General features: G+C 42.8%; 3 pseudogenes, besides 2 other annotated features; 2 read left to right on the forward strand and 1 right to left on the reverse strand.

Moving 5' to 3' along the window:
• Positions 1–74, forward strand: SSX16P (SSX family member 16, pseudogene; annotated as a pseudogene).
• Positions 97–597: an enhancer, noted in NCBI's record as "H3K4me1 hESC enhancer chrX:48291676-48292176 (GRCh37/hg19 assembly coordinates)". NCBI's record gives its function as "activates a minimal SCP1, AML or CMV promoter by ChIP-STARR-seq in naive and primed H9 embryonic stem cells {active_cell/tissue: H9 hESC(naive and primed)}" and the evidence as "EXISTENCE:reporter gene assay evidence [ECO:0000049][PMID:30033119]".
• Positions 598–1,098: an enhancer, noted in NCBI's record as "H3K4me1 hESC enhancer chrX:48292177-48292677 (GRCh37/hg19 assembly coordinates)". NCBI's record gives its function as "activates a minimal SCP1, AML or CMV promoter by ChIP-STARR-seq in naive H9 embryonic stem cells {active_cell/tissue: H9 hESC(naive)}" and the evidence as "EXISTENCE:reporter gene assay evidence [ECO:0000049][PMID:30033119]".
• On the forward strand, positions 8,319–9,777 carry SSX17P (SSX family member 17, pseudogene; annotated as a pseudogene).
• Positions 13,060–15,845, reverse strand: LOC791096 (ornithine aminotransferase pseudogene; annotated as a pseudogene).

The raw sequence follows: 21,133 nt of genomic DNA on the forward strand, positions 1-21,133 counted from the left end.
CCACAAAACGATGGGAAACAGCTGTGCCCCCAGGAAAACCAAGTACCCCTGAGAAGATTAACAAGACATCTGGTAAGAGCAAACAATTTGGGAACAACCCCTCTGGCTTCCCTGGCTATGTTCAGGTGTGTGGACTGGGTGTGTGGCATGGACCCCAGACAAGCCTGGGTCCAGCCTGGGCTGAGGAGCTTGCTCAGCTCCAGATGAGATGTTAGACTTGACTTCCAGAGACACAGGGTGGAGTTGTCATCCATATAAAAAACCACGTGACAGGGGAGAGGTTCCAAGATGGCCAAATAGGAACAGCTCCAGTCTAGAGCTCCCAGCATGAATGACGCATTTCTGCATTTCCAACAGAGGTACCGGGTTCATCTCATTGGGAATGGTTGGACCGTGGGTGCAGCCCATGGAGTATGACCCGAAGCAGGGCGGGGTATCGCCTCACCGGGGAAGTGCAAGGGGTTGGGGAATTCCCTTTCCTAGCCAAGGGAAGCCGTGACAGATGGCACCTGGAAAATCGGGACACTCCCGCCCTAATACTGTGCTTTTCCAGTGGTCTTAGCAAACGGCACACCAGGAGAGTATATCCTGCGCCTGGCTCGGAGTGACCCATGCCCACGGAGCCTCACTCACTGCTAGCACAGCAGTCTGAGATCGAACTGCAAGGCGGCAGTGAAGCTGGGGGAGGGGCGCCCGCCATTGCTGAGGCTTGAGTAGGTAAACAAAGTGGCCAGGAAGCTTGAACTGGGTGGAGCCCACCGCAGCTCAAGGAAGCCTGCCTGCCTCTGTAGACTCCACCTCTGGGGGCAGGGCATAGCGGAACAAAAGGCAGCAGAAACTTCTGCAGACTTAAGCGTCCCTGTCTGACAGCTTTGAAGAGAGTAGTGGTTCTCCTAGCACAGAGTTTGAGATCTGAGAACAGTCAGACTGCCTCCTCAAGTGGGTCTTTGATCCCCGAGTAGCCTAACTGGGAGACACCTCCCAGTAGGGGCCAACTGACACCTCATACAGCTGGGTGCCCCTCTGAGACGAAGCTTCCAGAGGAAGGATCAGGCTGCAACATTTGCTGTTCTGCAATATTTGCTGTTCTGCAGCCTCTGCTGGTGATACCCAGGAAAACAGGGTCTGGAGTGGACCTCCAGCAAACTCCAACAGACCTGCAGCTGAGGGTCCTGACTGTTAGAATGAAAACTAACAAACAGAAAGGACAACCACACCAAAACCCCATCTGTACATCACCATCAAAAAAGACCAAAGGTAGATAAAACCACAAAGATGGGAAGAAACCAGAGCAGAAAAACTGAAAATTCTAAAAACCAGAGTGCCTCTTCTCCTCCAAAGGAAGGCAGCTCCTTGCCAGCAACGGAACAAAGCTGGATGGAGACTTTGATGAGTTGAGAGAAGAAGGCTTCAGACAATCGGTAATAACAAACCTCTCTGAGCTAAAGGAGGATGTTCAAACTCATCGCAAAGAAGCTAAAAACCTTGAAAAAACATTAGACGAATGGCTAACTAGAATAAACAGCATAGAGAAGACCTTAAATGATATGATGGAGCTGTAAACCACAGCACGAGAACTACGTGATGCATGCAGAAGCCTCAGGAGCCGATTCGATCAAGTGGAAGAAAGGGTATCAGTGATTGAAGATCAAATGAATGAAATGAAGTGAGAAGAGAAGGTTAGAGAAAAAAGAGTAAAAAGAAATGAACAAAGCCTCCAAGAAATATGGGACTATGTGAAAAGACCAAATCTATGTCTGATTGGTATACCTGAAAGTGACAGGGAGAATGGAACCAAGTTGGAAAACACTCTGCAGGATATTATCCAGGAGAACTTCTCCAACCTAGCAAGGCAGGCCAGCATTCAAATTCAGAAAACACAGAGAACACCACAAAGATACTCCTCGAGAAGAGCAACTCCAAGACACATAATTGTCAGATTCACCAAAGTTGAAATGAAAGAAAAAATGTTAAGGGCAGCCAGAGAGAAAGGTCAGGTTACCCACAAAGGGAAGCCCATCAGACTAACAGCGGATCTCTCGGCAGAAACTCTACAAGCCAGAAGAGAGTGGGGGCCAATATTCAACATTCTTAAAGAAAAGAATTTTCAACCCAGAATTTCATATCCAGCCAAACTAACCTTCATAAGCAAAAGGAGAAATAAAATCCTTTACAGACAAACAAATGCTGAGAGATTTTGTCACCACCAGGCCTGCCTTATAAGAACTCCTGAAGGAAGCACTAAACATGGAAAGGAACAACCAGTACCAGCCACTGCAAAAACATGCCAAAGTGTAAAGACCATCGATGCTAGGAAGAAACTGCATCAACTAACGAGCAAAATAACCAGCTAACATCATAATGACAGGATCGAATTCACACATAACAATATTAACCTTAAATGTAAATGGGCTAAATGCTCCAATTAAAAGACACAGACTGGCAAATTGGATAAAGAGTCAAGACCCATCAGTGTGCTGTATTCAGGAGACCCATTTCACTTGCAGAGACACACATAGGCTCAAAATAAAGGGATGGAGGAAGATCTACCAAGCAAATGGAAAACAAAAAAAGGCAGGGGTTGCAATCCTAGTCTCTGATAAAAAAGACTTTAAACCAACAAAGATCAAAAGAGACAAAGAAGGCTATTACATAATGGTAAAGGGATCAATTCAACAAGAAGAGCTAACTATCCTAAATATATATGCATCCAATACAGGAGCACCCAGATTCATAAAGCAAGTCCTTAGAGACCTACAAAGAGACTTAGACTCCCACACAATAATAATGGGAGACTTTAACACCCCACTGTCAACATTAGACAGATCAATGAGACGGAAAGTTAACAAGGATATCCAGAAATTGAACTCAGCTCTGCACCAAGTGGACCTAATAGACATCTACAGAACTCTCCACCCCACATCAACAGAATATACATTCTTCTCCGCACCACATTGAACTTTTGCCGAAATTGACCACATAGTTGGAAGTAAAGCACTCCTCAGCAAATGTAAAAGAACAGAAATTATAACAAACTGTCTCTCAGACCACACTGCAATCAAACTAGAACTCAGGATTAAGAAACTCACTCAAAACCGCTCAATTACATGGAAACTGAACAACCTGCTCCTGAATGACTACTGGGTACATAACGAAATGAAGGCAGAAATAAAGATGTTCTTTGAAACCAATGAGAACAAAGATACAACATACCAGAATCTCTGGAACACATATAAAGCAGTGTGTAAAGGGAAATTTATAGCACTAAATGCTCACAAGAGAAAGCAGGAAAGATCTAAAATTGACACCCTAACATCACAATTAAAAGAACTAGAGAAGCAAGAGCAAACACATTCAAAAGCTAGCAGAAGGCAAGAAATAACTAAGATCAGAGCAGAACTGAAGGAGTTAGAGACACAAAAAAGCCTTCAAAAAATCAATGAACCCAGGAGCTTGTTTTTTGAAAAGATCAACAAAATTGATAGACCGCTAGCAAGACTAATAAAGAAGAAAAGAGAGAAGAATCAAACAGACGCAATAAAAAATGAGAAAGGGGATATCACCACCGATCCCACAGAAATACAAACTACCATCAGAGAATACTATAAACACCTCTATGCAAATAAACTAGAAAATCTAGAAGAAATGGATAAATTCCTGGACACATACACCCTCCCAAGGCTAAACCAGGAAGAAGTTGAATCCCTGAATAGACCAATAACAGGCTCTGAAATTCAGGCAATAATTAATAGCCTAGCAACCAAAAAAAGTCCAGGACCAGATGGATTCACAGCCAAATTCTACCAGAGGTACAAAGAGGAGCTGGTACCATTCCTTCTGAAACTATTCCAATCAATAGAAAAAGAGGGAATCCTCCCTAACTTATTTTATGAGGCCAGCATCATCCTGATACCAAAGCCTGGCAGAGACACAACAAAAAAAGAACATTTTAGACCCATAGCCCTGATGAACATCGATGCAAAAATCCTCAATAACATACTGGCAAACCGAATCCAGCAGCACATCAAAAAGCTTATCCACCATGCTCAAATTGGCTTCATCCCTGGGATGCAAGGCTGGTTCAACATATGCAAATCAATAAACGTAATCCATCACATAAACAGAACCAAAGACAAAAACCAAATAATTATCTCACTAGATGTAGAAAAGGCCTTCAACAAAATTCAACAGCCTTTCATGCTAAAAACTCTCAATAAACTAGGTATTGATGGGATGTATCTCAAAATAATAAGAGCTATTTATGACAAACCCACAGCCAATATCATACTGAATGGGCAAAAACTGGAAGCATTCCCTTTGAAAACTGGCACAAAACACGGATGCTCTCTCTCACCACTCCTATTCAACATAGTATTGGAAGTTCTGGCCAGGGCAATCAGGGAGGAGAAAGAAATAAAGGGTATTCAATTAGGAAAAGAGGAAGTCAAATTGTCCCTGTTTGCAGATGACATGATTGTATATCTAGAAAACCCCATCATCTCAGCCCAAAATCTCCTTAAGCTGATAAGCAACTTCAGCAAAGTCTCAGGATACAAAATCAATGTGCAAAAATCACAAGCATTCTTATACACCAATAACAGACAAACAGAGAGCCAAATCATGAGTGAACTCCCATTCACAATTGCTTCAAAGAGAATAAAATACCTAGGAATCCAACTTACAAGGAATGTGAAGGACCTCTTCAAGGAGAACTACAAACCACTGCTCAATGAAATAAAAGAGGACACAAACAAATGGAAGAACATTCCATGCTAATGGATAGGAAGAATCAATATCGTGAAAATGGCCATACTGCCCAAGGTAATTTATAGATTCAATGCCATCCTTATCAAGCTACCAATGACTTTCTTCACAGAATTGGAAAAAACTACTTTAAAGTTCATGTGGAACCAAAAAATAGCCTGCATTGCCAAGACAATCCTAAGCCAAAAGAACAAAGCTGGAGACATCATGCTACCTAACTTCAAACTATACTACAAGGCTATAGTAACCAAAACAGCATGGTACTGGTACCAAAACAGAGATATAGACCAATGGAACAGAACAGAGTCCTCAGAAATAATGCCACATATCTACAACCATCTGATCTTTGACAAACCTGACAAAAACAAACAATGGGGAAAGGATTCCCTATTTAATAAATGGTGCTGGGAAAACTGGCTAGCCATATGTAGAAAGCTGAAACTGGATCCCTTCCTTACACCTTATACAAAAATTAATTCAAGATGGATTAAAGACTTCAACGTTAGACCTAAAACCATAAAAACCCTAGAAGAAAACCTAGGCAATACCATTCAGGACACAGGCATTGGCAAGGACTTCAAGACTAAAACACCAAAAGCAATGGCAACAAAAGCCAAAATTGACAAATGGGATCTAATTAAACTAAAGAGCTTCTGCACAGCAAAAGAAACTGCCATCAGAGTGAATAGGCAACCTACAGATTAGGAGAAAATTTTTGCAATCTACCCATCTGACACTTTTACACTGTTGGTGGGACTGTAAACTAGTTCAACCATTGTGGAAGCCAGTGTGGGGATTCCTCAAGGATCTAGAACTAGAAACATCATTTGACCCAGCCATCCCATTACTGGGTATATACCCAAAGGACTATAAATCATGCTGCTATAAAGACACATGCACACATATGTTTGTTGCGGCACTATTCACAATAGCAAAGACTTGGAACCAACCCAAATGTCCATCAATGATAGACTGGATTAAGAAAATGTGGCACATCTACACCATGGAATACTATGCAGCCATAAGAAAGGATGAGTTCATGTCCTTTGTAGGGACATGGATGAAGCTGGAAACCATCATTCTGAGCAAACTATCGCAAGGACAGAAAACCAAACACCTCATATTCTCACTCATAGGTGGGAATTGAACAATGAGAACACTTGGACACAGGGTGGGGAACATCACACACTGGTGCCTGTCATGGGGTCGGGGGAGGGGGGAGGGATAGCATTAGGAGATATACCTAATGTAAATGACGAGTTAATGGGTGCAGCACACCAACATGGCACATGTATATATATGTAACAAACCTGCACGTTGTGACCATGTACCCTAGAACTTAAAGTGTAATTTAAAAAAAAAACATGTGACTTGGGGCAAGTCTCCCAAATTTCCTCAGCTGCAGATTCCTAGTCCATAAGATGGAAATAAAGAATCATAGTTCATAAATTGTTTGGAAGCATTAAATTTAATCTAGAAGGCCTGATGACATGAAAGGTGCTCAAGCAATTCTATCTGTGATAACCTGGGATCATATCTTACTCAGCTCAATGCCTGATACCCAATACACGTGTACTTCAGAGATATTGCAGGTTCAGTTCCAGACCACTGCAATAAAGTGAGTCACACACATTGTTTTTTGTTTGACAGTGCATAAAACATTATGTTTACGCTACAGTGTAGTCTACTAAGTGTGCAATAGTGTTATGTCTAAAAATATATATACCTTAATTTTAAAATAATTCATTGTCAATAATGCTAACAATCTTCTGAGCCTTCAGTGAGTCACACTCTTTTTGCTGGTGGAGGATCTTGCCTTGGTGTTGATGGCTGCTGGCTTATCAAGGTGGTGGTTGCTGAAGGGTGGAGTGGCTGTGGCAGTTTCATAAAAGAAGACAACAATGAAATTTGCCACATCAATTAGCTCTCCCTTTCATGAAGGATTTCTCTGTAGTATGTGATGCTATTGGATAGCATTTTACCCACAGTAGAACTTCTTTCAAAGTTGGAGTCAATCCTCTCTAGCTATGAAAGTCCTAGATGGCATCTCCTTCCAATAGAAGGTTATTTTATCTACATTGAAAATCTGTTGTTTCGTGTAGCCACCTTCATCAGTGACCTTAGCTAGATCTTCTGGATAACTTGCTGCAGCTTCTCCATCAGGGTTTGCTGCTTCGCCTTGCATTTTTATGTTATAGAGACGGCTTCTTTCCTTAAACCTCACGAACCAACCTCTACTAGCTTCACACGTTTCTTCTGCAGCTTCTTCAACTCTCTCAGCTTTCATGGACTTGAAGAGAGTTCTGGTCTTGCTCTGAATTAGACTTTGGCTTAAGGGAATGTTGTGGCTGGTGTCATGTTTTATCCTGACCACTCAAACTTTCTCTATTTGAGCAGTAAGGCAGTTTTGCTTTCTTATTCGTGTGTTCACTGGAGTATTAGTATTATTATTTCCTTCAAGAACTTTTCCTTTACATTATATACTATTATTTCCTTCAAGAACTTTTCCTTTGCATTCACAGCTTGGCTGTTTGGTGCAAGCGGCCTAGCTTTCATCCTGTCTTGGCTTTCAGCATGCTTCCTCACTAAGCTTAGCCATTTCTAGCTTCTGATTTAAAGTGAGAGACATGTGACTCCTCCTTTCATTTGAACACTTAGCGGCCATTGTAGGGTTCTTAATCGTCCTAATTTCAGTGTTGCTGTGTCTCAGGAAATAGGGAGGCCCAAGAAAAGGAGGAGAGATGGGGAAGAGCTCATCGGTGGAGCAGTCAGAACACACACAACATTAATCGATTAAGTTTGTCATCTTCTATGGGTGCAGTTCATGGTACCCCCAAAACAATTACACATAACAGGGTGATTATAGTCAATAATAACTTAATTGTGTGTTTAAAAAGAACTGATAGAATGTAATTGGATTGTTTGTAACACAAGGATAAATGGCTGAGGGGATGGATACCCTATTTTCCACGATGTGATTACTACGCATTTGCATGCCTGTATCAAAACATCTCACGTACCCCATAAGAATATACACCTACTGCGTACCCACAAAATAAAGAACAAAAATTATTTTAAAAGACTAAAAAACAACAAAAACAATTGCAGTAATAATGTCAAAGCTCACTGATCACAGATCACCATAACAGACATAATAATAATGGAAAAGTATAAAATTGGTGAGAATTTCCAAAAAAAATTGCAGCATCTGTGAAGCACTGTAAAAATGAGGAGCAATAAAACAAAGTGTGCCTGTGTGCCCTTAACAAATGCTTGCTGAATGAAAGGAGGTATCGGTGAATGTTCCCGTAAGTGAAGAGGTTGGGAATCTAAACCTCACAATGGAAGGAGCCAGAAGCTAAAATTTTAGTTTGCATTTGGCCTGTATTGGTGTGGATCTAAGGTCTCAGCCTCTCTAAGCCAGAGAATGTGAAAAACTGGATAAAGAAGGCCCATGGGCACTTGGGAGGGGGTAGGCATCTCCTTTTTTGGAGAAAACAGAGCCTAACACTCTCCAACCTACCCAACCCTCATCTTCCAACTATTCATCATAGGACCCAAAAGGCGGAAACATGACTGGACCCACAGACTGCGTGAGAGAAAGCAGCTGGTGATTTATGAAGAGATCAGCGACCCTGAGGAAGATGACGAGTAACTCCATAAGTGAATCTTCGGCTCACCCCTCACATCCCTGCAGATGTGCTATTCTGTTATGATACTGGTATCCCATCTTCTCACTTGTTCCCCAAACCATTCCCTTCTCATAATTTTCTAGGGTACAGCATTGAGGCTGAATGATGAGATTTCCCATGCTCTTTCGTATTTTTTTTTTTTTTGAGATGGAGTCTCTCTTTGTCACCCAGGTGCGATCTCGGCTCACTGCAAGCTCCACCTCCTGGGTTCACGCCATTCTGCCTCAGCCTCCCCAGTAGCTGGGACTACAGGGGCCTGCCACTACGCCCAGCTAATTTTTTTGTATTTTTAGTAGAGACGGGGTTTCCCCATGTTAGCCAGGATGGTCTCGATCTCCTGACCTCGTGATCGGCCCACCTCGGCCACCCAAAGTGCTGGGATTACAGGCATGAGCCACTGCGCCCGGCCGATTTCGCATTCTCTTTTTACTCCCTGGCCTGTAGGTCCAGGGATGCTCCCTACCCAGGATGCTGTGGGCTCCCAAACCCCAGGTCAGCCCTGATATGCAGGCCACACCTTCCTCTAGCCTAGGAATTGATAGCCTAGGCGAGGAAGTCACTGTGGCATGAACAGATGGTTCACTTCGAGGAACCGTGGAAGGTGTGTGCAGGTCCTGAGATAGGGCAGAATCGGAGTGGGCAGGGTCTGCAGGTCAGGAGGAGTTGAGATTGAGTTGTCACGTGGTGGGAACTCACTGCCACTTACTTTCCTTCCCTCTTCTTGCCTCAGCCTCAGGGAATATGACACATGCCCATGATGAGAAGCAGAACGTGGTGACCTTTCACGAACATGGGCATGGCTGCGGACCCCTCGTCATCAGGTGCATAGCAAGTGAAAGCAAGTGTTCACAACAGTGAAAAGTTGAGCATCATTTTTCTTAGTGTGCCAAGAGTTCGATATTGGCGTTTCCGTTGTATTTTCTTGCAGTGTGCCATTCTGTTAGACATTAGCGTTTTCTTTTGATGAGCAAGACATGCTTAATGCATATTTCGGCTTGTGTATCCATGCACCTACCTCAGAAAACAAGTATTGTCAGGTATTCTCTCCATAGAACAGCACTACCCTCCTCTCTCCCCAGATGTGACTACTGAGATCAGGTCTGAGTGTTTAATTTCTGATTTTTTCCTCTGCATTTACACACACACCTCACATGCACACACACACACCGAGTACCAGTATAAGTATCTCCCATCTGCTTTTCTCCATTGCCACGTGTCCTGGTCAAGCCCCCCTCACTCTGTTTCCTGTTCAGCATGTACTCCCCTCATCCGATTCCCCTGTATCAGTCACTGCCAGTTAATAAACCTTTGCAAACGTTCCCCAGTTGTTTGCTCCTCTCATTATTGTCCACACAGCTCTGTGCACATGTGTGAATATTTCTTTAGGAAAGATTCTTAGAAGTGGAATTGATGTGTCAAAGGAGTCATTTATTCAACAAAACCCTAATGAGTGTGTCCTCGTGCTGAGCGCTATTCTAGGTGCTGGAGAGACATCAGGGAACAAGGCAGACAGATGTTCCTGACCACCATTCTAGAGGAGGATGTTTCCAGTTGCTGGGTGTTTGTTTGTTTCTTCTAGAGATTGGGTCGTGCTCTGTCCAGGCTGGAGTGCAGTGGCATGATCATAGCTCAATGCAGCCTTGAACTCCTGGGCTCAAGCGATCCTCCCTCTTCAGCCTCCGGAGTAGCTGTGACTACAGGCATGCACCATCACACCCCACTAACTTTTTTAGGTTTGTCAAGAAAGTCTCGCTATGTTACCCAGGCTGGTCTCAAACTCCTGGGCTCAAGCGATCCTCCCGCCTTGGCCTCCTAAAATGCAGGGATTACAGGGGTGAGCTGCTGTGCCTGGCCTCCAGTTTTTATTTTGATAGAGACTATACACTTCAGTCCTGGAGCAGGATTCTGCAGCATGTGGTTGGGCATCTTGGCCTTCGCTCTCTGAACCATTTTTGGGTTCAAGGTCTGGGATGGTCCATTTGGGAGTATGTGGGAGGAGACACAGATGAAATCGTCATCTGGGTAACGTGGAGGAATCAGGCAGATGTGTGCACTGTAGACTCTGTGATGGCCAGGGAATAGAAGAGTCCACTTAGTCTCCATGCAGGGGAGCAACGGTGGGAAAGTCCCCTGGACAGAAGCATGAGACTGCCCATCAAGGGTCTCACCAACCAAGGGCCTGGGGGCTGGGGTGGGGACAGTGATTTGGGAATGGGACAGTTCTTTCTCATAGGTACCATTGCACGGTGCAGAGGGGAACATTTCTGGGGAAGGGAAAGGCAGAGGGGAGTCTATTTTAAAATCATTGTGTGTGAATGGAGACCATTAAGACTCACACCTATAATCCCAGCACTTTGGGAGGCCAAGACTAGCAGATCACTTGAGGTCAGGAGTTCAAGACCAGTCTGGCCAACATGGAGAAACCACGTCTCCACTAAAAATATAAAAATTAGCCGGGTGTGGTGGCTCACGCCTGAAATTCCAGGTACTCAGGAGGCTGAGGCAGGAGAATCGCTTGAATCCAGGAGGCAGAGGTTGCAGTGAGGCGAGATTACCCCAGTGCACTCCAGCTTGGGCGACACAAGTGAGACTCCATCTCAAAAATATATATACATATGCATATATATATATAGCTAAGACACTTTTTGAAAAAGAAGAATAAGGTGGGAGGAATGGCTCTACCATATTTCAATACTTCTTATATAGCTACAGGAATCAAGACTGTGTCGTATGGGGCGAAGAATAGACACACAGATCACTGGAACAAAATAGAGAACCTAGAAATAGCCCCACACTGACTTTTTACAAAGCGACAAAAAGAAGGAAGGATTGTCTGCTCAACAAATGGTGCTGGAGAAGTTGCAGAGCCATAAGCTAATAAAAAAAAGACCTAATCTTCATACCTTTATACAAAAAAAAAAAACTCAAGTGGATCATAGATTTAAATCTAAAATATAAAACTAAAACAGAAACTTTTACAAGAAAACATAGGAGAAACATCTGAGATCTAGGGCATAGTAAACAGTTCAAAAAGCATAATCCATAAGGAAAAAAAATTAGATTTCATCCAATTTAAAACTTTTGCCCTGCAAGAAACCCTGTTAAAAGGATGAAAAAACAGGGTATGGAATGGGAGAGAATGTTTGCAAACCACATATCCAAGAAAGGACTCACATCCAGAATGTATAATGGATATGTATAGTACTCTCAAAACTCAACAGTAGGCCATGGCTCACGCTTGTAATCCCAGCACTTTGAAAGGTTGAGGTGGATGGAGGGCAGATCCCTTGAGGGCAGGAGTTTGAGATCAGCCTGAGCAACATGGCAAAAACCCATCTCTACTAAAAATACAAAAATTGACAGGCATGATGGTTCACGCCTGTAATCCCAGCTACTTGGGAGGCTGAGGCATGAGAATCACTTGAACCTGGGAGGCGGAGGTTGGAGTGAGCCAAGATCATGCCACTGCACTCCAGCCTGAGTAACAGAGCGAGAGGCTCTCTCAAAAACAAACAACAACAACAAAAAACTCAACGGCAAAAAACAAACAAATAATCCAATTAGAAAATGATCAAAATATATGAACATACATTTCACTGAAGAGGAAATAAGCAAATAAGCTCATGAAAAGATGTTCAACACTAATTTGCTTCACTAGATGCAAATTAAGACCATGATGAGGTATCACTACACACTTATTACAACAGCTAAAATAAAAGACATAGTGACAACACGAAATGGTGACAAAGATGCAGAGAAATTGGACACCTTGTAAAATGCTGCTGGGAAGGTAAAATCTTACAGCCACTATGGAAAACTGTTTGATAGTGTCTTATAAAACTAAACATGCAATGAGCACACAATTCAACAATTACACTTCAGAGAAATTAAAATTTATGCCCATCCAGAAACTTATACATAATTGTTCATAGCAGCTTTACTTGTAATCGCCAGAAGCTCGAAATAATCAATATGTCCAACAATAAGTGAATGGTCAAACTGTGGTACATCCATACCACGAATTACTACTCACCAATAAAAATGAACTATTGATACATAAATATTAATGCCTTGAATGAATCTCCAGGGAATTATGCTGAGTGAAATAAGCCCCTAAAATGTTATATACTATAAGATTTCATTTGCACAGCATTGTAGAAAAGACAAAATTGTAGAAATGAAAAACAGATTTGTGGTTGCCAGGGATTAGGGATGGTGGATGGGAGGACAGTATTACCAAAAATGAGTAGCACAAGGGATAGCATTGTGGTGATGAAAATGGTTTGTAACTTTTTTTTGAGACAGAGTCTTGCTCTGTCTCCCAGGCTGGAGTGCAGTGGCATGACCTCTGCTCACTGCAACCTCTGCCTCTCGGGTTCAAGTGGTTCTCTTGTCTCAGCCTCCCATGTAGCTGGGATTATAAGCACGTGCCACCATGCCTGGCTAATTTTTGTATTTTTAGTAGAGACAGGGTTTCTCCATGTTGGCCCGGCTGGTCCCAAACTCCTGATCTCAAGTGATCTGCCTGCCTCAGCCTCCCAACGTGCTGGGATTACAGAGATGAACCACTGCACCCAGCCATGTTCTGTATCTTTTTTTTTTCTGAAATATAAGCTTTATTTTAAATTCAAAGAAATATTAAACTTTCTTTTACAAATTATAATCAAACACTCAAACAATTTAGGAATTTTAAACACTAATTCTTAATTGAAAATAATGACATCCATAGAATACATCCTGATGTTGGCCAACATGAAGTTTACTTAATATTAGTATTTTATATATGCTTAACCATTCATCCTTCCTAAAATTCAATGATAACAAAGATTTGACTTTATAAGGTGAAGCCTTTTATGTAATATGCTAGAGATAACTTTTTCAAATACAAAACATTTATACCAGCAAGGAAATTATGAAAGCATATATAAATTATACTGAAGGATGTGATTTAAAGGCTGTCTGTATACATAGATGCATTTCACCTTAGAAAGTACATATGCACATCAAAACACTTTCATTGAATATAGATGCCACTACATTCTCTTACTTATATTACAAAAGCAAACGGCAGGTTCATAAACGTTCTTCTATTATGTATCAACTGAAAAAAACATATATACACAAAAAGATTTTGACGGCACATGGGAGTGGAATGTGCCTACATTTAGAGCAGAGCTTTTACAGGACCACCTGTCTCCAGCCGGCTCCCAGGAACCATTGAAAACAGCTGCTACCCTCAGAATGATAAGATGGCCTTGTTAATGAGTTCACTGGACTCTCGAATCTCATCCCCCTTGACCACCAGCAGAGGTGAAACCTGATGATGTCGCCACAGGTTGGCTTGGCCAGAAGTCCATAATCTTGAAGTCGTAGACACACCTTCCAAGCATCACAATCTTTGGTTTCTTTAATAACAATAGCGTTTAATAATTCCTTTCCTCGCCGGGCGCAGTGGCTCATGCCTGTAATCCCAACACTTTGGGAGGCCAAGGCAGCTGGATCACCTGAGGTCAGGAGTTCGAGACCAGCTTGACCAACATGGCAAAACTCCATCTCTACTAAAAATACAAAAATTCGCTGGGCATAGCAGTGCGTGCCTGTAATCTCAGCTACTCAGGAGGCTGAGGTAGGAGAATCACTTGAACCTGTGAGGTGGAGGTTGCATTGAGCCGAGATTGCGCCATTACACTCCATCCTGGGCAACCAGAGTGAACCTCTGACTCAAATAAATAAATAAATAAATAAATAAATAAATAAATAAATAAATAATTATTTTCCTCTTACGGCAGTTACAACATCAGAAGGTAGCTTCATGGGTTCATTTCTCAAGATAATACCCATTTTTTTTCTGTATTTTCAGCAAGGTTTTCTTCTTCTAAAACCTCAAGGGCTGCAATTGTCACTTGGCAGCCTAGTGGATTGCCACCGTATGTGGACCCACATTCCCCTGGCTTAATGGTCAGCATTATGTCATCGTCCCACAGCACTGCAGACACAGAGTATCAGCCCCCAGAAAGGGCCTTTCCAAGGAGGACTATATCAGGTCTGACATTTTCATGATCAACAGCCAGCCATCTACCAGTTCTGGCCTATCCTGACTGTATTTCATCAGCAATATACAGATCCTGGTGCCTGGTGCAGAGCTCTCGCACTCCCATTAAGTAACCTGGATCTGGAACAACACCTGCTTCACCCTGAATTGGTTCTACCATGAATGCAGCCACATTTGGATTCTGAAAAGCACTCTCCAGTGCAGGCAGATCATTGCAGGGAATGACGTCGAAGCCAGGCATAAACGGTCCAAAACCATCATAACTCGTCAGGTCTGTGGAACTGGAGATAGCAGAAAACGTCCTACCCCAAAAGTTTCCAGCTGCGGAAATAACCTTTGCTTTGTATTTCTGAATGCCCTTCACAGTATAGCCCCACTTATGAGCTAGTTTACAGGCAGTCTCTCCAGCTTCCATTCCTGTATTCATAGGAAGAACTTTGTGGTAGTTGAAAAGTTTAGTAATATACTCCTCATATTCACCAAGTACGTTATTATAGAAAGCTCTAGAGGTTAAGGTCAATTTCTTCCCTTGACTCTTTAGTGCATTCACAATCTTGGGGTGACAATGCCCTTGGTTGACAGCACTGTAAGAACTCAGAAAGTCAAAATATTTTCTGCCTTCTACATCCCATAAGTAAATACATTTTCCTCTCTCCAGGGCTACAGGTAAAGGATGGTAATTGTGCGCACCACACTTAGATTCCCTTTCAAAAATGTAGTCAGAGGTTGGAGGGCCTTGGACTGTTTTCTTCGGGTTTTTTTTGTTTGTTTGTTTTTTGTTTTGAGATGGAGTTTTGCTCTTGTTGCCCAGGCTGGAGTGCAGTGGCACAATCTCAGCTCACTGCAACCTCTGCCTCCCGGTTTCAAGCAATTCTCCTGCCTCAGCCTCCCAAGTAGCTGGGATTACAGGCATGCACCACTGTGCCGGGCTAATTTTGTATTTTTAGTAGAGATGGGGTTTCTCCATGTTGGCCAGGCTGGTCTCGAACTCCCAACCTCAGGTGATCCACCAGCCTTGGCCTCCCAAATTGCTGGGATTACAGGCGTGAGCCACCACACCCGGTCTGGATTTTTTTTTTTTAGTTGCAACAGATGTAGCAGAAGCCACTGAAGAATGAGCTCCACGACTAAGTACAGCAAACCTCTGCAAAGGTGCTAGTTTGGAAAACATTGTGTCCTTCAAGTAGAAAAACCACAGATCGACTATTTTTTTCTTCCCATGGTTCAGACTAGAATACAGATTTTTAACCCAAGATCCAAGGATGATCTTCAGAGAGTCCAAAATCTCCTGACAGTGCCTGAGGACCACCCGGGACACACACTGTCTACAAAGCACAGCCATGTTCTGTATCTTGATTACGGTGTTGGTTACAGGAGTCTACACATGGGATAAAAAGGCATACACACTATTGCTCCAATGTCAATTTCCTGATTTTGATATTGTACTATAGTATTTTTACACTACTATAATATAGAGGAAACTCAGTAAAGGGTATATGGGACATATCTGTACTATTTTTGCAATTTCCCATAAATCTATATTATTCCCAAGTAAAAAGGGAAAAACATACAATTTTTTTTGAGACAGGGTCTCGCCCTGTCATCCAGGCTGGAGTGCAGTGGGGCAATTATAGCTCACTGCAGCCTCAAACTCCTGGGCTCAAGCAATCCTCCTGCCTCAGCCTCCCAAGTAGCTAGGACTACAGGCACATGCCACCATACCCACCTATTTTTTTTTTTTTAGAGATGGGGTCTTACTATATTGCCCAAGCTAAAAATACATTTCTTAATGAAAGATCAGGATGAGAAACAACAGGCTTATCTGAACACCTGCACAATAACCAAATACAACTTCTAGAAGTGAAAATGGTGATTTAAATAATTAATAAACTTATTAAACTGCAGATTAGACACAAACGAAGAAATAATTAGCGAACGAAAATATAGCTCTGAGGAAAACACACCATTAGAGATAAAGAAACAGAAAATAGGCCAGGCATGGTGGCTCAAGCCTGTAATCCCAGCACTTTGGGAGGCTGAGGCGGGTGGATCACCTGAGGTCAGGCATTCGAGACCAGCCTGACCAACATGGTGAAACCCCATCTCTACTAAAAATACAAAACTTAGCCAGGCATGGTGATGCATGCCTGTAATCCCAGTTACTCAGGAGGCTGAGGCACGAGAATTGTTTGAACCTGGGAGGTGGAGGTTGCAGTGAGCCGAGATTGTGTCATTGCACTCCAGCCTGGACAAGAGTGAAACTCCGTGTCAAAAAAAAAAAAAACAAAAAAGAAATGGAAAATATAAAGATATGGAGGATAGAATGAAAAGAGCTCACATATATTGAACACAAATTCTAGAAAGGGAGAATAGAAAGATTTATGGAGAACAATGTTCAAAGGAATAATGGCTGAGAATTTTCCAGCTTTGGTAAAAAGCATCAATGCTCCTTATGTGAGCTCACCCAGACCTATTACTTTATTATTTAAGGAATTATTCACTAAAACACATGCTGCTTTAATGTAGTTTAATTATAATCCAGTGTTCATAAAGATGATGTCATTTGGAAAAATATTGATTGGGAGCATTTGGGGATCATAAATTTGAAGTGGTACTAAAATACTAGGCCACATTAGAACATGTGGAAAAAGAAAGAAAAAGCAACAAAAATAAAGTTCTAGGCCACAACAACACAAACACTGAAAGAGAAGGAGATTAGAGTTAAAGTAATCAAAGGACATGTGAAAATGGAAACTAAAGTTATCATCAAATTTAAACCTTTTAATGTCAAGTAATGATGTTTAAAATGTTTAATGTTGCTAACACAAAGTAAATGGTGGAATAGAGAACTCCAAAAATCTATGCCTCTATAAAAATCAGTGAAAAAACTGGCAAAAACTGTCAGGATCAACTTTTTCAGAACTTTGAAAACTAACCGAAAGCTTGTAACAAGCAGAGGAATGTTTAATCAAGAAAAACCAGCTGAGTGGCTCACGCCTGTAATCCAGCACTTCGGGAGGCCAAGGCAGGCAGATCACCTGAGGTCAGGAGTTCGAGACCAGCCTGGCCAACATGGTGAAACCCCGTCTCTACTAAAAATACAAAAATTAGCCAGGCGTGGTGGCACGTGCCTGTAATCTCAGCTACTCAGGAGGCTGAGACACGAGAATTGCTTGAACCTGGGAAGTGGAGGTTGCAGTGAGCTGAGATGGCACCACTGCACTCCAGCCTGGGCAACAGAGCAAGACTGTCAAAAAAGAAAAAGGAAGAAAAAGAAGGAAGGAAGGAAGGAAGGAAGGAAGGAAGGAAGGAAGGAAGGAAGGAAGGAAGGAAAGAAGGAAGGAAGGAAGGAAAGAAGGAAGGAAGGAAGAAAGAAAGGAAGGAAGGAAGGAGAAAAACCAGCTGAATCTCCATAAGAACAGTAAGCTTTGTGGTATTTTAACTTACCCTTGTCCCATCTCCTGCTCCCAGCTTGGTGGTAGCCCTGAAGATAATGATCTGCATTCCCAGTACAGGTACCAGTACCAGAGAGAAAAGAATGGACCTTATTCACAAAGAATTACAGTTGTTTGTTTTGACTTGTCTGGTGGTTCCCTGGAAGAACCCACTTGAAAGGCTTGTCTTCATTTGACCTCACTCAAACTGATGCTACAACCTGGGGTAGTGAATAGCAGTTGAGGCAAACAATACATCAACCAGCAAGCTTAAAAGGAAAGGCTGGAGGCCAGGCATGGTGGCTCATGCCTGTAATCCCAGCACTTTGGGAGGCTGAGGCAGGTGGATCACGAGGTCAAGGGATCGAGACCATCCTGGCCAACATGGTCTCTACTAGACACCCCATCTCTACTAAAAATACAAAAATTAGCTAGGTGTGGTGGTGTGCACCTGTAATCTTAGCTACTCAGGAGGCTGAGGCAGGAGAATTGCTTGAATCCAGGAGGCAGAGGTTGCAGTGAGCCGAGATCGCGTCACTGCACTCCAGCCTGGCAACAGAGCAAGACTCTATCTCAAAAAAAAAAAAAAAAAGAAGAAGAAGAAGAAGAAGGAAAGGCTGGAAAATGGGGCTTGAATAACTCCAACACATGCCTGGGAATCTAGAAGGCCACACACATACGCCCTGGGCTGCAGCTAGGCGAATGCCCACAGAAGAACTAAGTAGGCTTTAATCTCTCACCTCTGCAGACCTCGAGGCTCTGAGCAAGCAGGAAGAGAAAGATAAGGCAACGTTGTAAACTGCCAGGCTGAGTGCAGAAGGTATGTCCCAACACATACACAAATCCCCTTGGCAAAGACTGGGAGACATACTGGTTCCAGGCATTTAAAGAAATTTCTGTTCAATCATTAGTGGCCACTAAGCTAACCAAGAGACTTCAGTGGCCACAGAGGACAAGGAATAGAGACTACAGAATTTGTTCAGGAAAAAAACTAGACAAACTTGTGTTTTGAGACAGGGTCTTGCTCTGTCTCTCAGGCTGGAGTACAGTGGCACTAACACGGCTCACTGCAGCCTTGATCTCCCAGGCTCAAGCAATCCTCCAGCATCAGCCTCTGAGTAGCTGGGACTATAGGCATGCGCCACCACACCAAGCTAATTTAATTTATTTATTTATTTATTTATTTTTTGAGATGGAGTCTCACTCTGTCGCCCAGGCTGGAGTGCAGTGGTGCGATCTCAGCTCACTGCAAGCTCCGCCTCCCGGGTTCACACCATTCTCCTGTCTCAGCCTCCCGAGTAGCTGGGACTGCAGGGGCCCGCCACCACGCCTGGCTAATTTTTTTGTATTTTTAGTAGAGACGGGGTTTCACCGTGTTAGCCAGGATGGTCTCAATCTCCTGACCTCACGATCCACCTGCCTCGGCCTCCCAAAGTGCTGGGATTACAGGCGTGAGCCACCGCGCTCGGCCAATTTTTTTTTCTTTTTTAAGAGACGGGGTCTCACTATGTTGCCCGAGCTGGTCTCAAACTCCTAGGCTCAAATGATCCTCCTGCCTTGGCCTCCCAAAGTGCTTGGATTACAGGCATGAGCCACCGAGCTCAGCCTAAACAAACATTGAAAACAAACAAACAAAACAGCAACAAGAAACCCCAGGGAAGGGACAGAATCTGGTTTCCAGAGTTGCCACATTATATTATTTGAAATGTCCAGTTTTCAATAAAAAATTATGACACCTGCAAAGAAAGAAGAAAATACGACCCATCCACAGAATAAAGAAAAAAGACCACCTATAGAAACCATCCCTGAGAAAGCCCAGATGTTGGGTTTTCCTTTTTTCTTAATGTATTTTATTTTATTTATTTATTTATTTTGAGACAGAGTTTTGCTCTGTCGCCCCGGCTGGGGTGCAGTGGTGCAATCTCGGCTCACTGCAACCTCTGCCTCCCAGACTCAAGCAATTCTACTGCCTCAGCCTCCCAAGTAGTTGGGACTACAGGCACCCACTACCACACCTGGCTACTTTTTGTATTTTTAGTAGAGACAGGGTTTCACCATATTGGCCAGGCTGGTCTTGAACTCCTGACCTCAAGTGATCCACCTGCCTTGTCCTCCCAAAGTGCTGGGATTACAGGTGTGAGCCACCACGCCCAGCCAGATGCTGGGTTTTCTAATAAAAAGACTTTAAATGAGCTATTTAAAATACGTCCAAAAACCTCAAAGAAACTATGTCTAAAGAACTAAAGTATAGAAACAATATCTCACCAAATAGAGAGTATCAATACAGACATAGAAATATAAAAAATGAACCAAATAGAAATTTCTGGAGTTTAAAAGTGTAATAATCAAAATGAAAAATTCATCTTCTGCTGATGCTAGGAGTAGGGACATTGCCCTCATCTCTTTTTGGGGTTCTTTCTGTTAAATATGAAGACTTGCTTTTTTTTCTTTTTGAGACAAGGTCTCACTCTGTTGCCCAGGCTGGAGTGAGTGGTGCAATCACAGCTCACTGCAGCCCTGAACTCCTAGGTTCAAACAACTCTCCCACCTCAGCCTCCCTGAGTAGCTGGGACTGCAGGTGCAAACCACCATGCCCGACTAATTAAAAAAAAAAAATTGGGGCTGGGCGCGGTGGCTCACACCTGTAATCTCAGCACTTTGGGAGGCCAAGGCAGGCGGATCACCTGAGGTCAGGAGTTTGAAACCAGCCTGGCCAACATGGTGAAACCCTGTCTCTACTAAAAATACAAAAATTAGCTGGGCACGGTGGCGCATGCCTGTAGTCCCAGCTACTCAGGAGGCTGAAACAGGAAAATCGCTTGAACCCGGGAGGCAGAGGTTGCAGTGTGCCAAAATCGTGCCATTGCACTCCAGCCTGAGCAACAAAGCAAGACTCTGTCTCTAAATAAATAGATAAATAAATAAATAAATAATAAATAAATAAATAAATATTGTGTAGAGACAGGATCTCACTATGTTGCCCAGGTTGGTCTCAAATTCCTGGCCTCAAGTCATCCTCCTTAGCCTCCCAAAGTGCCCAGATTATAGGCATGAGTCAAGACTTGCAGTTTTAAGGCCAGGTGCTGGAATTTCAGGTTACCATTATTATCAAAAAGAATGGTTTGTTGAGCTTAAGTTTAGTGGCAGTAAAGGGAGTGGACAAAGCTATATAAGAGCAATGTTTTGTATAG

The sequence above is a fragment of the Homo sapiens genome, chromosome X, assembly GCF_000001405.40.
Source record: "Homo sapiens chromosome X, GRCh38.p14 Primary Assembly".
Taxonomy (NCBI): Eukaryota; Metazoa; Chordata; class Mammalia; order Primates; family Hominidae; genus Homo; species Homo sapiens.